The sequence below is a fragment of the Homo sapiens genome, chromosome 4, assembly GCF_000001405.40.
Source record: "Homo sapiens chromosome 4, GRCh38.p14 Primary Assembly".
In the NCBI taxonomy this organism is placed as follows: domain Eukaryota; kingdom Metazoa; phylum Chordata; class Mammalia; order Primates; family Hominidae; genus Homo; species Homo sapiens.
This window is the reverse complement of record NC_000004.12, coordinates 76,654,580-76,672,984: the sequence shown is the minus strand read 5'-3', so window position 1 is coordinate 76,672,984 and position 18,405 is coordinate 76,654,580. Positions and strand designations below refer to the sequence as shown.

At 42.4% G+C, this 18,405-nt stretch overlaps 1 protein-coding gene and 1 pseudogene across 1 annotated transcript in view, besides 1 other annotated feature; both read right to left on the bottom strand.

Annotated features, from left to right (window-relative positions):
- Positions 1 to 18,405, bottom strand: part of SHROOM3 (shroom family member 3) — a 348,025-nt gene that overhangs the window by 110,269 nt on the left and 219,351 nt on the right. The gene's annotated exons all lie outside the window — the stretch shown is intronic.
- Positions 3,890 to 4,937, bottom strand: SUMO2P11 (SUMO2 pseudogene 11; annotated as a pseudogene).
- Positions 7,030 to 8,229: an enhancer, noted in NCBI's record as "CDK7 strongly-dependent group 2 enhancer chr4:77585909-77587108 (GRCh37/hg19 assembly coordinates)". NCBI's record gives its function as "activates an origin of replication core promoter dependent on BRD2, BRD4, P300/CBP, MED14 and CDK7 cofactors, with strong dependence on CDK7, by STARR-seq in HCT116 cells {active_cell/tissue: HCT116}" and the evidence as "EXISTENCE:reporter gene assay evidence [ECO:0000049][PMID:35650434]".

Sequence of the window (18,405 nt, the reverse complement as noted above, 5' to 3'; positions counted from 1 at the left end):
TATGCTCCCTTTAGTTTGGAAATTTGTAGGGAAGAGAACTTTTTTAAGGGCAATGAGGCAGAATCCCCTTAATGCAAGTAATATTTTTTCACCAAATTAAAATGCATGTATCCGGCCGGGCATGAGCCACCATACCCTGTAATCCCAGCACTTTGGGAGGCCGAGGCAGGCGGATCACGAGGTCAGGAGATGAGACCATCCTGGCTAACATGGTGAAACCCTGTCTTTACTAAAAATACAAAAAATTAGCCAGGCGTGGTGGCGGGAGCCTGTAGTCCCAACTACTCAGGAGGTTGAGGCAGGAGAATGGTGTGAACCCAGGAGGCGGAGCTAGCAGTGAGCTGAGATCACGCCACTGCACTCTAGCCTGGGTGACAGAGCGAGACTTGGTCTAAAAAACAAAAAAAATGCATGTATCCTTTACAAAATGGTGACATATCAGTAGCTTTTCTTTGGGGAGTAACTAAGTTTCAAGTCAACTTGCCACATAGTTTAAGCTTACTGTTCCTATCAAAAGAAGCTGGTGAGCAGAGAGAAACGGTATTCTTTTTTTTTTTTTTTTTTTGGTCCCTAATTTGAAGTAACAGAGTAAGTTCCAGTAAAAAGAATTTAATTAAAACATTTAAGATATATGCCTGCTGAAGCAATATCCTCAATGCCAACAATAGGGATAGAATTATTCTCTGGTTTTCTTTTCTCTCCGAAAATATTACCTTAGTTTCTTTTAACCAAATAACCTTAGCACTTTGTATGCATATCACTTCATTGTTAATCTCATTTATAGAATTAGAACGGAAAATCTTGCTATGTTCATTTTTTTTAGAGGGATAAATCATCTTGACTTTCTTTCTCACTGTGTCCTTCATGGAAATTGTATATAAAGCTCCTGTTTCCTAACTCTGAAAAACACTCTTTCCCTTAAATGTGGGGGCTATGGTATCACATAAGTAACAAAAGTCAATATATGTTGAGTATCCCTAATACAAAAATCTGAAATCCAAACTGCCCCAAAATCTGAAACTTTTTGAGCACTGACGTGATGCCCAAAGGAAATCTTCACTGGAGCACTGTGGATTTTGGATTTTTGGATAAGGGATGCTCAGCTGGTAAATATATAATGCAAAAATATCAAAATCCAAAAAAAATTTTTAAAAATCTGAAATCCAAAACACTTCTGGTTCCAAGCATGTAGGATAAGAGATACTTAACCTGTATTGGCTCAACCTGTCTCTCTCTAGATGTTTCTTTCTGGGTGTTCATTCACCTAACGTGTTTTATTAACATGTTTTATTGTGCATCTCTTTTCCATGGGAACTGTGTGATGAAATCTGTCTGGCAGACTGGGGAACTATAGGAAGGCCCCCTAAACTGGAACTGAGGGATTGCAAAAGGATTCTAAACAGAGATATAGAGATTAAATGGGAGTTAGGTTAGCAAAGAGAATGAAGAGGGCTGGCAGACCCAGGAAAGGGAAGATGCCAGTATGGATGGAGGAGAGCACAAAGGAGGAAGTGGCTACAGCTGGCACACACAGCCTGGGCACAAAGGCCTGGCCGGCTCCAGATACACAGCTACAGTCAAGTCCTGGTTAGGAGTTTGAAGTTTATCCAAAAGGCAACTGGAAGCCATTGGAAGTTTTTAAGCAGAGGGACAGGATCAGATCTGCATTCTTGAAGGATCACTATGGTTGTAGTGGACACTGATGGAGTGGGGCAAGGCCAGAGGTAGGGAGAACAGTTAGGGCACAGTCGTGGGAGTACACCTGGAGGTGATGCTGGCCCCTCTATTGCCAATATGTAAGCTCCATGAGGCCAGGGGTCTGCTTGGTTTGTTTACTATACCTCAAGCATCTAGGAAAGTGGCTGGCACATAGTAGGTGGTCAAATGTTTGTTGAACAAACAAATAAATAGGCTAAACTAGGGTAATAGCAGAGGGGATTAAAAGGGAGGTGAGGATAGGGAGACAAATTAGAAAATGGAGTGGATAGGTCTTGTTAATCTTCTTGAACTCTTTTATTTTTATTTATTTATTTATTTTTGAAACAGGGTCTTACTCTGCACCCAGCCTGGGGTGCAGTGGCATGATCTCAGCTCACTGTGACCTCCCAGGCTCAAGTGATCCTCCCACTTCAATCTCCCAAGTATCTGAGACCACAGGCATGCACCACCATGCCCGGCTAATTTTTGTATGTTTAGTAGAGAGAGGGTTTTGCCATATTGCCCAGGGTGGTCTAAGTTCCTGAGCTCAAGTGATCCACCCGCCTTGGCCTCCCAAAGTGCTAGGATTACAGGCATGTGCCACTGCACCTAGCCAAAATCTCTTTCTTGATTTATACAGTTATGCCCTTTGCTTTTCTTTCTATAATAAATCTGTTTGATTCAATATAAAATATCTAAGTTATTTTTCAAATAAAATGCCTTTTTTAAAAAAAAGTATACAATTCAATGATTTTTAGTAAATGGATAGAGTTTTGCAACCATCACTATAATCCAGGTTTAGGACATTTTCATCACCCCCAAAATTCCCTCATGCCCAATCCCTGCTCCCACCCCCTAACCCAGGCATCACTGATCTCCTTTTTGTCTCTATAGATTTTCCTTTTCTAGATATTTCAAATAACTTGAATCACAATATGTAATCTTTTGTGTCTGGCTTCCTTTACTTAGCATAATGTTTTTGAGGTCCGTCTGTGTTGTAGCATGTTTCAATAGTTAATTCCTGTTTATTGTAGAATAGTATTCTATTGTGTAGAAATACAACATTTCATTTTTCTATTTACAAGTTGATGAACACTTGGATTATTCCCACATTTGGTCTATGATGAATAATTCTGCTTTGAACATTTGTGTAAAAGTCTTGCAGTGGACAGACAGAGGCCTTGTTAATTTTTATTAGATGTGGGAGGTTGTGAGAAAAATGAAGGGGGCAAGGAAGATGCCCAGATTTCAAGCTTGGCAACTGATGAGTGATGATACCTAATTCACAGAAATGGGGAAGACTAGAAAGAGAGCAGTTTTGATGAGAAAGATTACCTCAGTCTGGGGCAAGTGCCTATGAGATATGGTGTGGGTGTGCCCAGTTGGCAGGTAGGCACATGGATGTGGAACCTTAGTTTCCTTAAAACATCTAACAAAGTTAGGCCCGTTTTTGAGCAGCATGTCCCATGTTTAAGATGCATTCCTCAGGCATAATAAAAGCAATTCTCTGTGACTTAGTCTCACCTCTATATAAATCTGACCAAAGAGAAATTCATGTAACATCCCACATACTCGTTTTGGTTTGCACAACAATTATTATTTTTTTTTTAAATTTTAAGCAAAAAGTTTATTTAAACAAGATATGTGAAGAGAAAAGTATCTAGGATTCTTTTTTTTTTTTTGAGACAGAGTTTTGCTCTGTAGCAGTGCAGTGGCCCGATCTCGGCTCACTGCAACCTCTACCTCCCGGGTTCAAGTGATTCTCCCACCTCAGCCTCCCGAGTAGCTGAGATTACAGGCACACCCAGCTAATTCTTTTTGAATTTTTAGTAGAGACAGGGTTTTACCATGTTGGCCAGGCTGGTTTTGAACTCCTGACCTCAAGTGATCTGCCTGCCTCGGCCTCCCAAACTGCTAGGATTACAGGTGTGAGCCACTGAGTCCAGCCATAGGATTACTTTTTTTGTTTGTTTTAGAGTAATTTATCCCTACTTAAAGACAGATTCCCCTACACGTAACAGCTACATACAAAAGAGTTATAAAACCGTCCTTGGTTTAACAAGGATAAATGAAAAACATTAAAATTCTCCAATTGAACAAGGTATACAAGGATTTTTATGTTGTTGTTTTGTTAAAACAGTAAAAGCAAAATAACTTACTAGAATAGAAAGATAAGAGCTGAGTGAGCATGCCACTAAAGGAGAAAGGGGGCATTTTCACACAATCAGTATTTTTCCCTATCCCGTCTCCATGTGATGTCAATCAAAACATACCATTGGCTGTTTAGTTAAAAAATGCAATATGCTTGTGCACATATGCCAGTTACTTTATGTGCAATAAAGGAATGGGGAAGGGGGAAATTAAATAATAGAGAAAACTATACTGTAGTAGTCAGAATGTGGTAGAACCAAATTGCAGTTTTCTAACTGAGAATGTCATGTTGGTCTGAAAAGAAAACAGTCCTGGAGTAACGAAGCAGCTTCCCTTCTCAGTAGACACCTCCCCTCTGCTGTTGGAACACATCAATTGTATCTTCATCCTCTATTTCAAACTGTGCAGGTGTGTCTGTTTCATTGATTTGTTGCCTGTCAAATCGGAATCTGATCTGCCTCATTGACAATCCCTATCATTCACAATACGCTTTCATTAGTTTACTAAGTGATGTATGCCTCTTAGTTTTTTTCATTTGTTTGTTTGTTTGTTTGTTTGTTTTGAGGCGGAGTTTTGCTGTTGTCGCCCCAGCTGGAGTGCAATGGCACAATCTCAGCCCACTGCAACCTCTGCCTCCTTGGTTCAAGCAATTCTCCCACCTCAGCCTCCTGAGTAGCTAGGATTACAGGCATGTGCCACTACGTCCGGCTAATTTTTGTTGTTGTTGTTGTATTTTTAGTAGAGACGGGGTTTCACCATTTTGGCCAGTCTGGTCTCGAACTCCTGACCTCAGGTGATCTGCCTGCCTCAGCCTCCCAAAGTGCTAGAATTACAGGTGTGAGCCACCGCGCCCGACATATGCCTTTTAATCAAACTGCACCACAGAACTATCCTGCCCCGCCACCTTCAAACTAATATGATCGTTGTTCTCAGTCTTGACTCCTTCCTTGGGCTTTTCGCCGGCCATGGGGAGCGCCGGAGTCTCCTCAGCTGCCGCTTCACAGAAGAGGTACCAGGTCCTCACCGAAGGAGCACACAAGCAGCACCAGGAGCTGCAGGAGGAGGCTGCAGCGGTGGACAAGGGAGAGGGGGCGTGACATTATGTGCTCCCTCCCCGCACCCTGCGTGCACCTGCAGAACAACTTTTTTTTTTTTTTTTTTTTTTTTTTGAGAGGGAGTCTCCTTCTGTCGCCCAGGCTGGAGTGCAGTGGCGCACCTTGGCTCACTGCAACCTCCGCCTCCCGGGTTCAAGTGATTCCCCTGCTTCAGCCTCCCGAGTAGCTAGGACTACAGGCGGGCGCCACCACGCCCAGCTAATTTTTTTGTATTTTAGTAGAGGCGGGGTTTCAGCGTGTTGGCCAGGAAGGTCTCGATCTCCTGACCTCATGATCCGCCCGCCTCAGCCTCCCAAAGTGCTGGGATTACAGGCGTGAGCCACCGCGCCCAAGCAACAATTTTAATAACATCTTCTATTTGCTTAGCATTTCCCCTTTAAACAAATTGTTGTAAAGAATACATAACAGGCTGGGCATGATGGCTCATGCCTGTAATCCCAGTACTTTGGGAGGCTGAGGAGGAAGGATTGCTTGAGCCCATGAGTTGAAGACCAGCAACAGAGTGAGACCTTGTTTCTACAAAAAATAATTTAAAAATTATCTGGGTATGATGGCACATGCCTGTAGTCCCAGCTACTCAGGGCTGAGGTGGGAGGATCGCCTGAGCCCTGGAGATTGAGGCTGCAGTAAGCCGTGATCACATCACTGCATCCAGCATGGGTGACAGAGCGAGAACCTGTCTAAAAAAAACGAAACAAAACAAAAGAAAAAACAGCCTACATAATGTAAAGTGAACCATCTTAACCACATGTAAGTGTACAGTCCAGGGGCATTAAGTATATTCATGCTGTTGTGCAACCATCACCAGCATTCATCTACAGAACTCTTTTACTCTTGTACTCAGAACTCTTTTACTCTTGTACTCAGAACTCTTTTACTCTTCAGTTTTACGAAGTTGTAAAACTGAAACTTTGTACACACTGAACAATAATTGTCCAATCCTCCCATTCCCCAGCCCCTGCCAACCACCATTCTACTTTCTGTTTCTATGAATTTGACTATTCTAGGTAACTTGTATAAGTGGAATTACACTGTATTTTTCCTTCTGTGACTGGCTTCTTTCACTTAGCATAACATTCCCAAAGTTCACCTATGTCATATTCTGTAACAGGATTTCATTCCTTTTTAAGGCAGAATGATAGGCCATTAAATGTTTATACCACAGTTTGTTTATTTATTCTTCCCTCCATGGACACTTGGGTTGCCTCTACCCTTTGTCTATCATCAATGATGCTGCTATGAACATGGGTATGCAGATAGCTCTGAGTCCCTGCTTGCTCTGTATTTCCTTTTAAGAAATTAAGATATAAGAATTGAAAGATCTTTATCATACATCTTATAACATCTTCCCACATTCTCGTTTTGGTTTGCACTACAATTTTAATAACATCTATTTGCTTAGCATTTCCTCTTTTTAAAAAAATGTTATAAAGACTACATAACAGGCCGGGCATGATCGCTTATGCCTGTAATCCCAGCACTTTGAGAGGCTGAGGAGGGAGGATCATTTGAGCCCACCAGTTCAAGATTAGATTAGCTAAGGCAACAGAGTGAGACTTTGTTTCTACAAAAAATAATTTAAAAATTGGTTGGGCATAATGGTGTATGCCTGCAGTCCCACCTACTCAGGGGACTGAGGTGGGAGGATCATTTGAGACCTGGAGGTAGAGGCTGCAGTGAGCCGTGATTACACCAGGCAGGCTGTAATCCACTGATGTATCTGAATAGAAGTAATCACATGAACAAGTCCAAGATTAAAACTGCAAAGCTCCAGCTGCAATGAGTGAGGCCAGAACTTTCTGCAGCTTTGACACTGGGGTATCACTGGACTTTTCTTAAACCCTAGACCGACAATGCAGAAAATTACTCTTTTTTAAAGGATTTTAGAGGTACCACCGTAAGTCAACAACACTTTAACCCCAGATTTTCCTCATAAAATTTTCTTTTTTTCCCAGTAATCCATAGGGGTCCTAAGGGTGACCCAGTCTTGTTTGCTTTTGTGATAAAAGTGTTCAGCTGGAACGTCCTAATGCACTTAAAGATTTCTGTAGTATGCCAGGTCAGGTAGGTCAGCACTGATGCAGTGGAACTTACCAGGGCAGCGCTTATCAGGGAATGAAGGTATGGCGTGGGGTCAGGATGTCACGCCTGATGGCAGAGAGAAAGATTAGACATATACCAGTAAACAGGAGAGAGAGGTTTTGAATTTTATGCTACAAAAAAAGGATGCAAGCCAGGTCCTAGCTCCATCAACTTGAATCTGTTTCTCAAAACAACTGTTTTCCACAGATGAACACAACAGGTAGCTCATGGAAAATACCAGAACAGGGCAATGTTTCTATTCTATTGGGATCATGAGAGACAGATGAAAGTGCCAGGAATCAAGTTAATAAAATAGGTAAGCTTAAACAGCCACAAACATCACAAAACACCATTTTAATTATTGTAGATGTGACAAAAAGCAGCCAAATCCATAGAACAGTCCAGGACTCCAGGCAAAGCCTTGAATTTCACCACTGCTGGTGCAGGAAGTCCATATGGATCTGGGCTCTCTTCCAGATGACTGGTTCTTCTGACAGTCCAAGTCCAAAGAACTCTTGGAATGCCACAGCTTCCTGGTACACCTTCCCAGGTGCCCCACCCTCAACTGGTATTAAGGGTGGGTCAAGAAATCAAACACAAGCTATAAATGGCAGAGAGATAGGAGATTAAAAAAACCCCATGGATCCCAGCCAGGCCACATGGCATGAATGAGTACTTCATAGGTAAAGCTGCAGCCAAGTGGAGGTGGTTCCACAGTTGGAGGCCTGAAGCAGAGGCTAACTGTACTCAAGTTCATCAGAAGTCCTAGTACTACTGTGTACACAAAAAACCCATCCTACCTATTTGTAGATGGTATTGGCAGCTGTGGAAACCCTGGTAAGAACTGTAAAATCCTTAGAACCCCTTTGAGGTGGGAATCCTTCCCTCCAAGTCAAGGTTGGAGGCACATCTGAATCACCTGGAAGCCTTTATTTTGTTAATATATATATTTTTGAGACGTGGTCTCACTGTGTTGCCCAGGCTGGTCTCAAACTCCTGGGCTCAAGTGATCTGCCCACCTCGGCCTACCAAAGTGCTAGGATTACAGGCAAAAGCCACCGTGCTCGACCACCTGGAAGCCTTTAAAACCAAGGCGCAACCAGAGGCTGTGGAAGAGGGAAATGGAGTTTTTAGTGTGTATAGAGTTTCAGTTTTGCAGGATAAAAAAGTTATCAAGCTCCATTGCACAATAACTTTGATATACTTAAACTTATTGAACTATACACTTAACATTATTGACCTATACACTTAAAACTGGTTAAGATGACAAATTTAATGTATGTGAGTATGTGTGTGTCTGTTTGCCACAATAAAACGATACAACAGTAACAAAAGCATAAAGACCCAGAGGCCCAGGACCAACCTCAAACCAACTGAATCAGAATTTCTGGGGATGAATGGCAGGCATCATCATCATCACGACTATTTTAATTGTAGCACAGGCATCATTATTTTTAAAAGCTGTCAAGATCATTGTCATGTGCAGCTAAGATTGAGAATCACAACTATTAATCAATGAAAGATTCTGGCTGCATAAACTCAAGAAGAATGATCAATTAACAACTGCCTGCATTAATTTCATATGGCTACACAGATGTTCTCCAAAGAAGTTAGGTTCAGTAAGCTCTTTAGATGAGAAAGTGGCTTTTCTAGGCAAACTCTTTGACTTCACAAATATCAGATGTTTTATTCACTGAAAGTCAGAACTTTCTGAGGAGTAAGCTAGCACATAAGGAAAGGGATACTTTTTGAAATTACATGAATGCTGACAGCCAGGAGGATCCCATGTGGTAAATGACTATGGGCCTACAGAGAAAGTATTCTTTCAATGACGCCAGACTTACAGCCAGCAAGTAGTTCACCCACTTTGAAAATCTGGTTTATTATTTTCAACTGCCAGGAAATGAGAGCCAAACATACTTGGTATATATAGGCCAGATAAGAAATTGTTTGAATAGTCAGACAAGGTATCTCAGAACTGCAGCTTGGGGTGAGGCAGGTGTCATGACTCAAGTTCCTACAGAGACCAAGAGGGTAAATGGGGAAAGTGAACCAGTTGGAACTATGGCCACTGAAGGCCTCATGTCCTGTTTAAAGGACCACTCTAACCCAACTGTTACACTGCAGAAAGTGGGTCCACTGTTACCTGAGTTCCCAACTTTTCAGAAAAATCCTGGACATCTGGATGTTTATGTAAAGTTTTCCAAGTTTTAAATATTGGAAATTAATCCAATTAAAAACCAAAGCTGTGCGCAGCAGTGTGCACCTATAATCCCAGCTACCCAGGAGGCTGAGGGAGGAGGATCACTTTAGCCCAGGAGTTCAGCCTGAGCAACATAGTGAGGCTCCATCTCTAAATCAACAAGAACAACAACAATCTATGGGCCAAACAAAGCACAGCTTCACGAGAGATTGGGCTTCTTTGCTGCTGGTTATTACCTCTGGTGTATAGCAACAGGGAGACCTGGATTCTAGCCTTGACTTAGCAAGTTGTGTAGCTTCACAACCAACTTCTCTGGAATCTATCTTGAAAAATAAAAGGCTTATGAGAGTATCTTGAATGCCAGGCCTATGATTACTTATTCTCTATTAGGGAGATATGCAGGGTCCCCGGGTTGAGTGAGATTTCAAACACACAACCGAGAAATCCTAAGATCTTAACACCTAGGCATGAACATGCCAGACCCAATGGCTCCTTCCCTACCCAGTTGGTTTCAAGCTGACAAAGTATAACTTTTCTTGGAATAGATTTAGCCAGTTTAAAAATTTTGATTTGGAACTATCTATGCATGATTTTCAATAAATGTTTTCTAGATTTCCAGAGACTTTTATGGTGATTTAAATTACCAAACCGCAAAGTCCCCTTATAGGATCAGACTCTGTCTAGAAGCAAGAAGTGATTAGAGTGTAGTAGACAATGTTCTAGGCTAGGAATCTAGAGACATGGCTCTCAGTAACCAACTCTGTGAATCTCTCTCTCTCCCTCTCTCCCTCTCTCCCTCCCTCTCCCTCTCCCTTCCTCTCCCTCTCCCTCTACCTCTCTCTCTCCCTCTCCCTCAGATAGGGTCTTGCTTTGTTGCCCAGGCTGGAGCACACTGTCGCAATCACAGCCTACTGCAGCCTCGAACTCCTAGGCTCAAGCAATCTTCCTGCCTCAGCCTCTCAAGTAGCTCGAACCACAGGATTGCAATTATTGAACCTACAGTAGGCATGCTTCTTTAGAAGGAAAGTATACGTGGATTCTTAAGCAACTGGATAATGAAAAGTGATCCTGATTTTAGGACTTCATCATGGACTGCTATGGTAGGCAGAATTCTGAAGATGTCCCAAGATTCCTGTCCCCTAGTTATTCAAACATCGATTGTGAAGGGAAATTGCAGATGCAATTGAAGTCCCAAGTCAATGAATCTTAAGATACAGGAGATTATCCAGGTAGGTTTGGCCCAGGCAGGTGAGTCTTTTAAAAAGCAGAGTTTTTATTCTCTGCCTGGCAGTAGAAGAGGAAGGCAGAGAGATTCAAAGCACGAGGGGGATTCAATGCGTCTTGCAGGCTTGAAGATGGGTGTGTGGGGTTCCATGTGAGAAGAAATGCAGGCTGCCTCTGGGAGCAGAGAGAGCAGCTCTGGGTGAGAGCCATTAAGGAAATGGGGACTTCATCCTACAACCACAAGAAACTGAATTCAAACAACAACAAGAAGGAGCTGAATTCAACCAACAACAAGAAGGAACTTCGAAGTAGAATCCCCTAGAGCCTCCAGATAAGAGCCCAGCTCAGTCTACACCTTGATTTCAGCTTTGTGAGGTCTTAGGTAGAGAACCCAATGATGCCATGCACAGCCGTGACCTAGAGTATTGTGAGCTAATAAATAAGTGCTGCTTCAAGACACTTCATTTGTAATAGTTTCTTATGCAGCAATAGAAAACTAACACAACTGCCAGTACCACATGTTGGGAAGGTTATGGAACAAAATGGTACCACACTTTGGAAAAGGGTATGGAAAATCGAACACACATCCACCTTATGAGGTAGCATTTTACTCTTAGGTATTTACCCAAGAAAAATGAAAACACATGTCTACAAAAATACTTGTACAGTAATATCTGTAGCAGCTTTATTCATAATAGCCCCAAACTAGACACAATCCAAATGTCCATCAGTAGGAGAATGGATAAACAATGAACTATTAATACAAGCAACAACACAGATAAAGTTCAGAAACCTTACATTGAGTGACAAATATCAACAAAAAAGATTATATACTGTGTTATTTCATTTAACGAATTTCTAGGATAGAAAAAACTAATCTATGGTGAAATAAATCAGAACAGTAGGTGCCTGGAGGTGCAGAGCGGACTGGAAAGGGGCACAAAGAAACTTTATCTGGTGATAAAAATGGACTATATTTGCCAGGCGCAGTGTCTCACGCCTGTAATCCCACCCAGCGCTTTGGGAGGCCGAGGTGGGCGGATCATGAGGTCAGGAGATCGAGACCATCCTGGCTAACGTGGTGAAACCCCGTCTCTACTAAAAATACAAAAAAATTAGCCAGGCGTGGTGGCGGGCGCTTGTATTCCCAGCTACTTGGTAGGCTGAGGCAGGAGAATGGCGTGAACCCAGGAGGTGGAGCTTGTGTGAGCCGAGATCGCGCCATTGCACTCCAGCCTGGGCGACAGAGCGAGACTCCGTCTCAGAAAAAAAAAAAAGAAAATGGATTATAGTTTGATAGGGATGTGGATTACACAAGTGAATACATTTGTCAGGATTCATGGAACTGGAATACTCAAGAGTCACACATTTTATATAAATTATCTCTCAATAAAAATATCTTTAAAAACAAATTAAGCCAGGTACAGTGGCTCACACCTGTAATCCTAGCACTTTGGGAGGCTGAGGCAGGAGGATCACTTGAGGCCAGGAGTTCAAGACAAGCTTGGGTAACAGTGAGACACTGTCTTTACAAAACATAAAAAATTAAGCCGGCATGGTGGTACATGCCGGTAGTCCCATTTACTCAGGAAGCTAGGGTGGGAGGATTACTTGAGACCAGTTCAGGGCTGCAGTGAGCTATGATTGTGCTCCTGCACTTCAGCCTGGGTGACAGAGTGAGACTGTGTCTCAAAAAACAAAATAACCACCCACAAATGAAAAAAAATGATTCATCAGGCCAGGCACAGTGGCTCATGTCTATAATCCCAGCACTTTGGGAGGCTGAGGCAGGTGGATTACCTGAGGTCAGGAGTTTGAGACCAGCCTGACCAACATGGTGAAACCCCGTCTCTACTAAAAATACAAAAATTAGCTGGGTGTAGTGGCAGGTGCCTGTAATCCCAGCTACTCAGGAGGCTGAGGCAGACGAATCATTTGAATCTGGGAGGCGGAGGTTGCAGTGAGCCGAGATTGCTCCACTGCACTCTAGCCCAGGCAACAGAGCAAGACTCCATCTTAAAAAAAATTAATTAAAATAAATATAAAAAATAATGCAACCAATATGTGATAGACTAGTTATCGCTGAGGTGTTGATGACTCTCTCCTAGGGGTAGCTATTTAAAAACAGACAGGGTAAGAGTTAACTCAAATGAATGAGCCCCTCATAGAGGGATATGGGACCCTAAGCAGCTGGGTGAAAGATTTTTGGGCAGTGAGACCTCTAGAGAGGACCTCAAATCACTCTATGCACTTAATCAGATAGTCCTGCAAAGGGCTCCTTGTGGGTTTATTCTATGCCCAAGTGCAAATTGCTAAAAGATGAATGGTGAAGATGCTGATGGTGCTGGAGCTTCCCAAGCAAGAAGAGCTCTGGAGGGGGCTGGGGTGCACAGAGGCGGGTGGCAGTGCCCTGACGTGGGTGAGAGAGGTGCGTGTGAGGTGGGGAGGGGCAGTGAGCTTCACACTCTCGAGTCTGGTGGCCTCCGTGTGATACCCAGCATCTGAGCACAGCCTCTGGGAATACCCCTGCGCAGCTTCATTCTTGGTTTATTCAGCATATGCATGTTTTAGATGGGTTGCTTCAGTCAAAATGAACCCATCTTTTCTTGTTTTGTAAAAAAGTTTTCTCAGGCTGGGTGCGGTGGCTCACGCCTGTAATCCCAGCACTTTGGGAGGCCAAGAAGGGTGGATCACCTGATGTCAGGAGTTCAAGACCAGCTTGGCCAACATGGCAAAACCCCATCTCTACTAAAAATACAAAAATTAGCTGGGTGTGGTGGCGCACACCTGTAGTCCCAGCTACTTTGGAGACTGAGGCAGGAGAATCGCTTGAACCTGGGAGGCGGAGGTTGCAGTGAGCCAAGGTCATGCCACAGCACTTCAGCCTGGGCAACAGAGTGAGACTCTAGCTCATAAATAAATAAATAAATGCTTCTGAAAGCCCACAGCAACTTCACTGGATTTCTGATATATACTTTGGTGCTTGTTACATATACATAAGAATTGCAAAGAGAGCCAACAACTGTAGGCTAAAATCTCAGTTTGTCTAACATATGGCTCTAAACCCAAATGACCAATATGAAAAGTAATGTTTTAAACTATGGGCTGTACTTTTTCCAAAGGAGCCCAGATGGCTAGATGGTGGGGGAGTAAAGAACTCAGTCATGGGGCCTGGCCTCTTGGCAAGGTGCCTGGGGTCTGCTGTTGGCTTCTGTCCTCAGAAAGTTCCACCTGTAAGTAGGGAGTGATCCATCCACTTGAGGCTCTCTAGTGAGGAAGAGTCAGTTCACATCGGGAAGTGCTTTGAGGGAGAGGAGAGGTGGCTGAAGGATGGGCCTTGAGTATTCACAATGAGGGTTCCAATGAGACAATTTAATCAGAGGGGACACCAGAACCAAGCTTTTCATGCTAGAGGACCAACCGAGAAGGAAGAATGGGATCTGAATGAGGTCCATTTTTAGATGAGCCTTTTTTTTTTTGGTTTGTTTAATCATAACAGTGTTTTGAAAAGGCTTTACCAGTGAGTCAGTGGTGGGTTTCGCTAAGTCCACCACAAATTAGTTACACATTCCCTAATTGTTTCCAAAAAAAGATTTACTATGAAATGACACAAAGTGCAATTGAATCCTTGGGTTTTGTTTTTGTGTGTGGTATGTATCTGATGTGTCAGTTTTGCAATCTGCTTGGTTTTGATATTGAAAAATGTTTGATGTTTTGGCTTCCAGTTGAATTGACACTATTCATCTGTTTATCCATCCAAAGGTACCTATGTTAGTTACTAGTTGGATCCTACCAAGCACACATGCGGGCATGTGCACACACACACAAACACACACACACATACACACATGGGAGGGGGTTTGGAAGGGTAGCATCCTGCAGGAATGCTTGATGTAACATTTACCACACTATTATATATAGTTCACTGTTCCTGCTCTGTATTGCTCACTTGACAGTGAGGTTCTGGATGGTATGAAACAGTTTGTCTAGTTTATCCTCCATTCTTAATGCTTAACAGAGTATCTGACACATACTAGGCAAAAATAAATATTTTTAGTCTTGCTATTTCCTGTTATGTTCTTTATGGAGATGGAAACCAGCAATGTAAATCTTTTTCTACTTAAAGATACTGACTCATTGCTCAATCTCTCACATCCAGCCACATAGCCTTTCCTTTGATTTTCCATTTTTAGAACCTCCCCTGAGGGCTCTTCCAGAAATGAAGCAGGAATTTCTGTAATGATTTCATTAATTCCAACTAAGGTAGCAAACATAAGTCACCAAGGCTTGAGGTTTGAAACCCTGTAATTTGGTGTTCAGCTTCACATCCTCACAGTCGGTGGATGCTAAGCAGATCTGATCTGTGCTTTCCTAATTTTCACAATTGTTGTGGGATTGTGGGAAGTTATTATAAAATGCATGGAAGAGCACTTTGGTAACTACAAAGCAGGTATTGCTATCGACTTCATTTTATCAATGTGGAAAAGTCCAGAGGCAAAGTGATTTGCCCTGGCTTATGCTGGAGCCCAAACCAATGGTTTCCCAACAGCCCAATGAACGTGCTGAACTCCATGGAGAGGACCAGTTCTAGGACTGTCTCCACTTGACCAGAAGGGAACACCCAGCTGGCACTGATCTTAGAATATGTATCCTTGGGAAGGGTCCTGAAACCAGCCCAGTCTGCAGGGGACCAGGTGTTGACCACTAGCTTGTCTTACTTGGGCCCGGAGACAGTTTGTTCTCTTTGTATCTTTATATCAGAAAATCCAACAGTCACAGAGCAGAGAAGCAGGTTTCTTCTATAATTAGCATAACAGGTCAATGGATGTCACTGTTGCACCACAGAAACAGAATCTAAACTCCAAGGGGACCCCCCCACCCCCAAACAGCAGCACCCTCACTATTTGGGAACATTAGGAGAGCAGAGCACACTTTGAACCAAAAGAAAGCAATTATAAATGAGTAACAGATATTCCATTTAAAAATGTTAGCGCTAGTAATGAGCAGGCATATTCAGGGACAAGTTAAGGCAAATAGCTTTGAACATCATGAATGGCTATAAATGAGTGTATATGTCATTTACCAGGAGGAAAAGTCACAAAATGAATCAAACCAAGTCTTTTGACTTCAAATACTGTGTTTCTTTCACTCTGCCTCTCACAATGTTCAAAATTATTTTAGAAAATACGTTGATACTTAGATTAAGACTTCTCACCATCTATCAACGGCCTTACATAAATGTTTTGGAAAGAACTTAAATCCTCAACCTAGTATAATGATCAAATGAATATGTGTATATATATATATAGAGAGAGAGAGAGCGAGAGAGAGAGAGAGAGAGAGTTTCGCTCTTGTTGCCCAGGCTGGAGTTCAATGGCATGATCTCGGCTCACTGCAACCTTCATCTCTTGGGTTCAAGCAATTCTCCTGCCTCAGCCCTCTGAGTAGCTGGGATTACAGGCACCTGCCACCACGCCCATCTAATTTTTTGTATTTTTAGTAGTAGAGATGGTGGTTTCACTATGTCGGCCAGGCTGGTCTCGAACTCCTGACCTCAGGTGATCCACCCACCTCAGCCTCCCAAAGTGCTGGGATTACAGGCATGAGCAACTGTGCCTGGTGAATATGTGTATTTATTCAGCACCTACTTTCTGCCAGGAACTTGTTTGATTTTTCACAACTCTTGAAGGTAAGATGATTATTTCCATTTTTCATGTGGGTTCAGCAAGAGTAAGTAATGTTTCCATTATGCAGCTGGTAAGAGACAGACATTGGTACAGATCCACGTCTACTGGCCTGCAAGTTAGGATGTGCTCCTATTCAGTTCAAGCCTTCTTTGACATCCCACTGCATGTGCCTTATTGGAGATACTACAATAAATGCAAACCATCTCTGCTCCCAAAGAAATGTTGAGGTCTTTCATGGACAATTATATTACAGTCGAGTAAGAAGGGCTTTTTCCAGGTGCCATGCAACTCAGTGAGGGTTAGAAAGGGCCTATGACACTGAGATATAAAGAGTGAATAAAATCCAGCAGGCAAAGAAAAATATAGTCCAAGGGCATTTAACCTGGAGGAATATCCAGTGTCTAGGTAAGAAGTGGAGAAATATTATAAATACCTGTAATTTAAATTCAGAGAAGATTTTTTAAAGGAACAATCTGTTTCTTTTAAATTGGACTGGGTGTGAACTGTTACTATTAATAACCTACTGCCCAGCAGTAATTCCTAAGAGGAACCGTAGTACAAGACTCTGCTTATACTATGGGATGGAAAGTCAAGCCTTGTCTTGGGAATGGTGAGGGGCTCTGGTACCACAAATACACTAAAAATACTTCCATGAGTTTCCTTATAGTTGGAAATGAAGCAGGAGCAGCAGGAATAAGAAATGAGGAACTCCCTGCCAGCTCTCCTGGCGCCCTCACCATGCCTGAGTCCCTGACTCCAGACCAAGGAATCTCTGATACAGCAGGGTAAGAACAGGCCACAGCAGAATGGTCTCCACGAGTCTCTAATTTCATGAATACAAAACTGTGACTGTCTCTCTATTTTCCGGTCTAGTATAAAACCTCACATGCACAGATAACAGATGTAAGCAGCTATGTAACTGGGTACTGGGAATCCTTTTCCATCCAGGTCCAGAACTGACTCCCCCAGCAGAGAGAAGGAAGGTGATCCTGAGAGATAAATGCCAGTGACATCCCCTGGCAATTCCTATGGCCTTTGGAGCCATCACAGGTCACAGGCTATAATCATTCTTGAAATTTCTGACGATGAGACCTGTCACTGCTGTCAGACAGGCTTAACTGGCCTTTTTGGACACTTTCTTAAAATATAAGTAAATTGGGCAGCTAATCCTACAGTGTTGTATCTTGTTTTTTCTTGGAGCTTTGAAGTCTGGACTTGGAGACGGAAAGGTTAAGTGAGCAACCCTAGAGAAAAGAACACAGGAATTTCTTTGTGTTTATCTTAACAATATCCATAACTTTCCACTTTTAGCCCAGTGACATTTTTCCCTTTTTTCCTGCCCAACAGTCTTTCTTGGTCGTGGTCACATTTAATATTTTTGGATAGAAATGACAATAGGACTGAAGGTCCTCTTATTGGCCCAGAATGTAATGGTGATGCTAAAAATGTATAAATGACTGAATCATTTAACAAGTATTTGCTATACCTGTGTCCTTAGCACTGTGTCTAAAGAGAACATGGTGAGTGATTAAACAAAGAGGCAGAACAATGGACTAGGGGACCTCAGGACTTCACTTGTAGCTGCAGGAACCTGAGAAGAGACTAAAGCTGCAGCTCAGGTGGGGGATATTTGCATATAATATTGGATAAGCTATTTATTTTTCCCCTCATGCATTCTAATTTGAAATACATGAAAATGATATGTAAATATATTAGTATAATTTTCATTAAAATCATTCCTTTCTTCAACAAATACTGAGCACTGGCCAAGCATAAAGGCCAGCAGTAACCAAGCTGACTACTTTCTGAATGATTCATTTTCACCACTTTAATCCATACTTAGCCAGAGCCACATAGTATGATAGGCTGGAAGTCAGATAGTCAAATAGATCTCAAATCCTGGCTTCTCTACTCAATAGCTGTGTGACTTTGGGCTAAGCAACTTTCTCCTTTGAGCCTTAATTTTATCATTTGCAAACTGAGGATAATAAGTTAATATAATAGCATAATACAATAATTACCATCACTATATATTTCCTATAGGATAGGCAATGATGGTGGCACCCCAACTGTGAGAGGCAATCATCCTTGAACCCTCCCCCTCCTCCTCATCTCCTGTATCAAAAGAGTCACTAAATCATACTGTTTTATCTCCAAAATATTTCCCAAATCCTGTCCCCTATTTCCCATTGCCCTAGGTCAAGCCCTCATCACCTCTTGGCAAATCTAAATTGTCTCCCTGCTT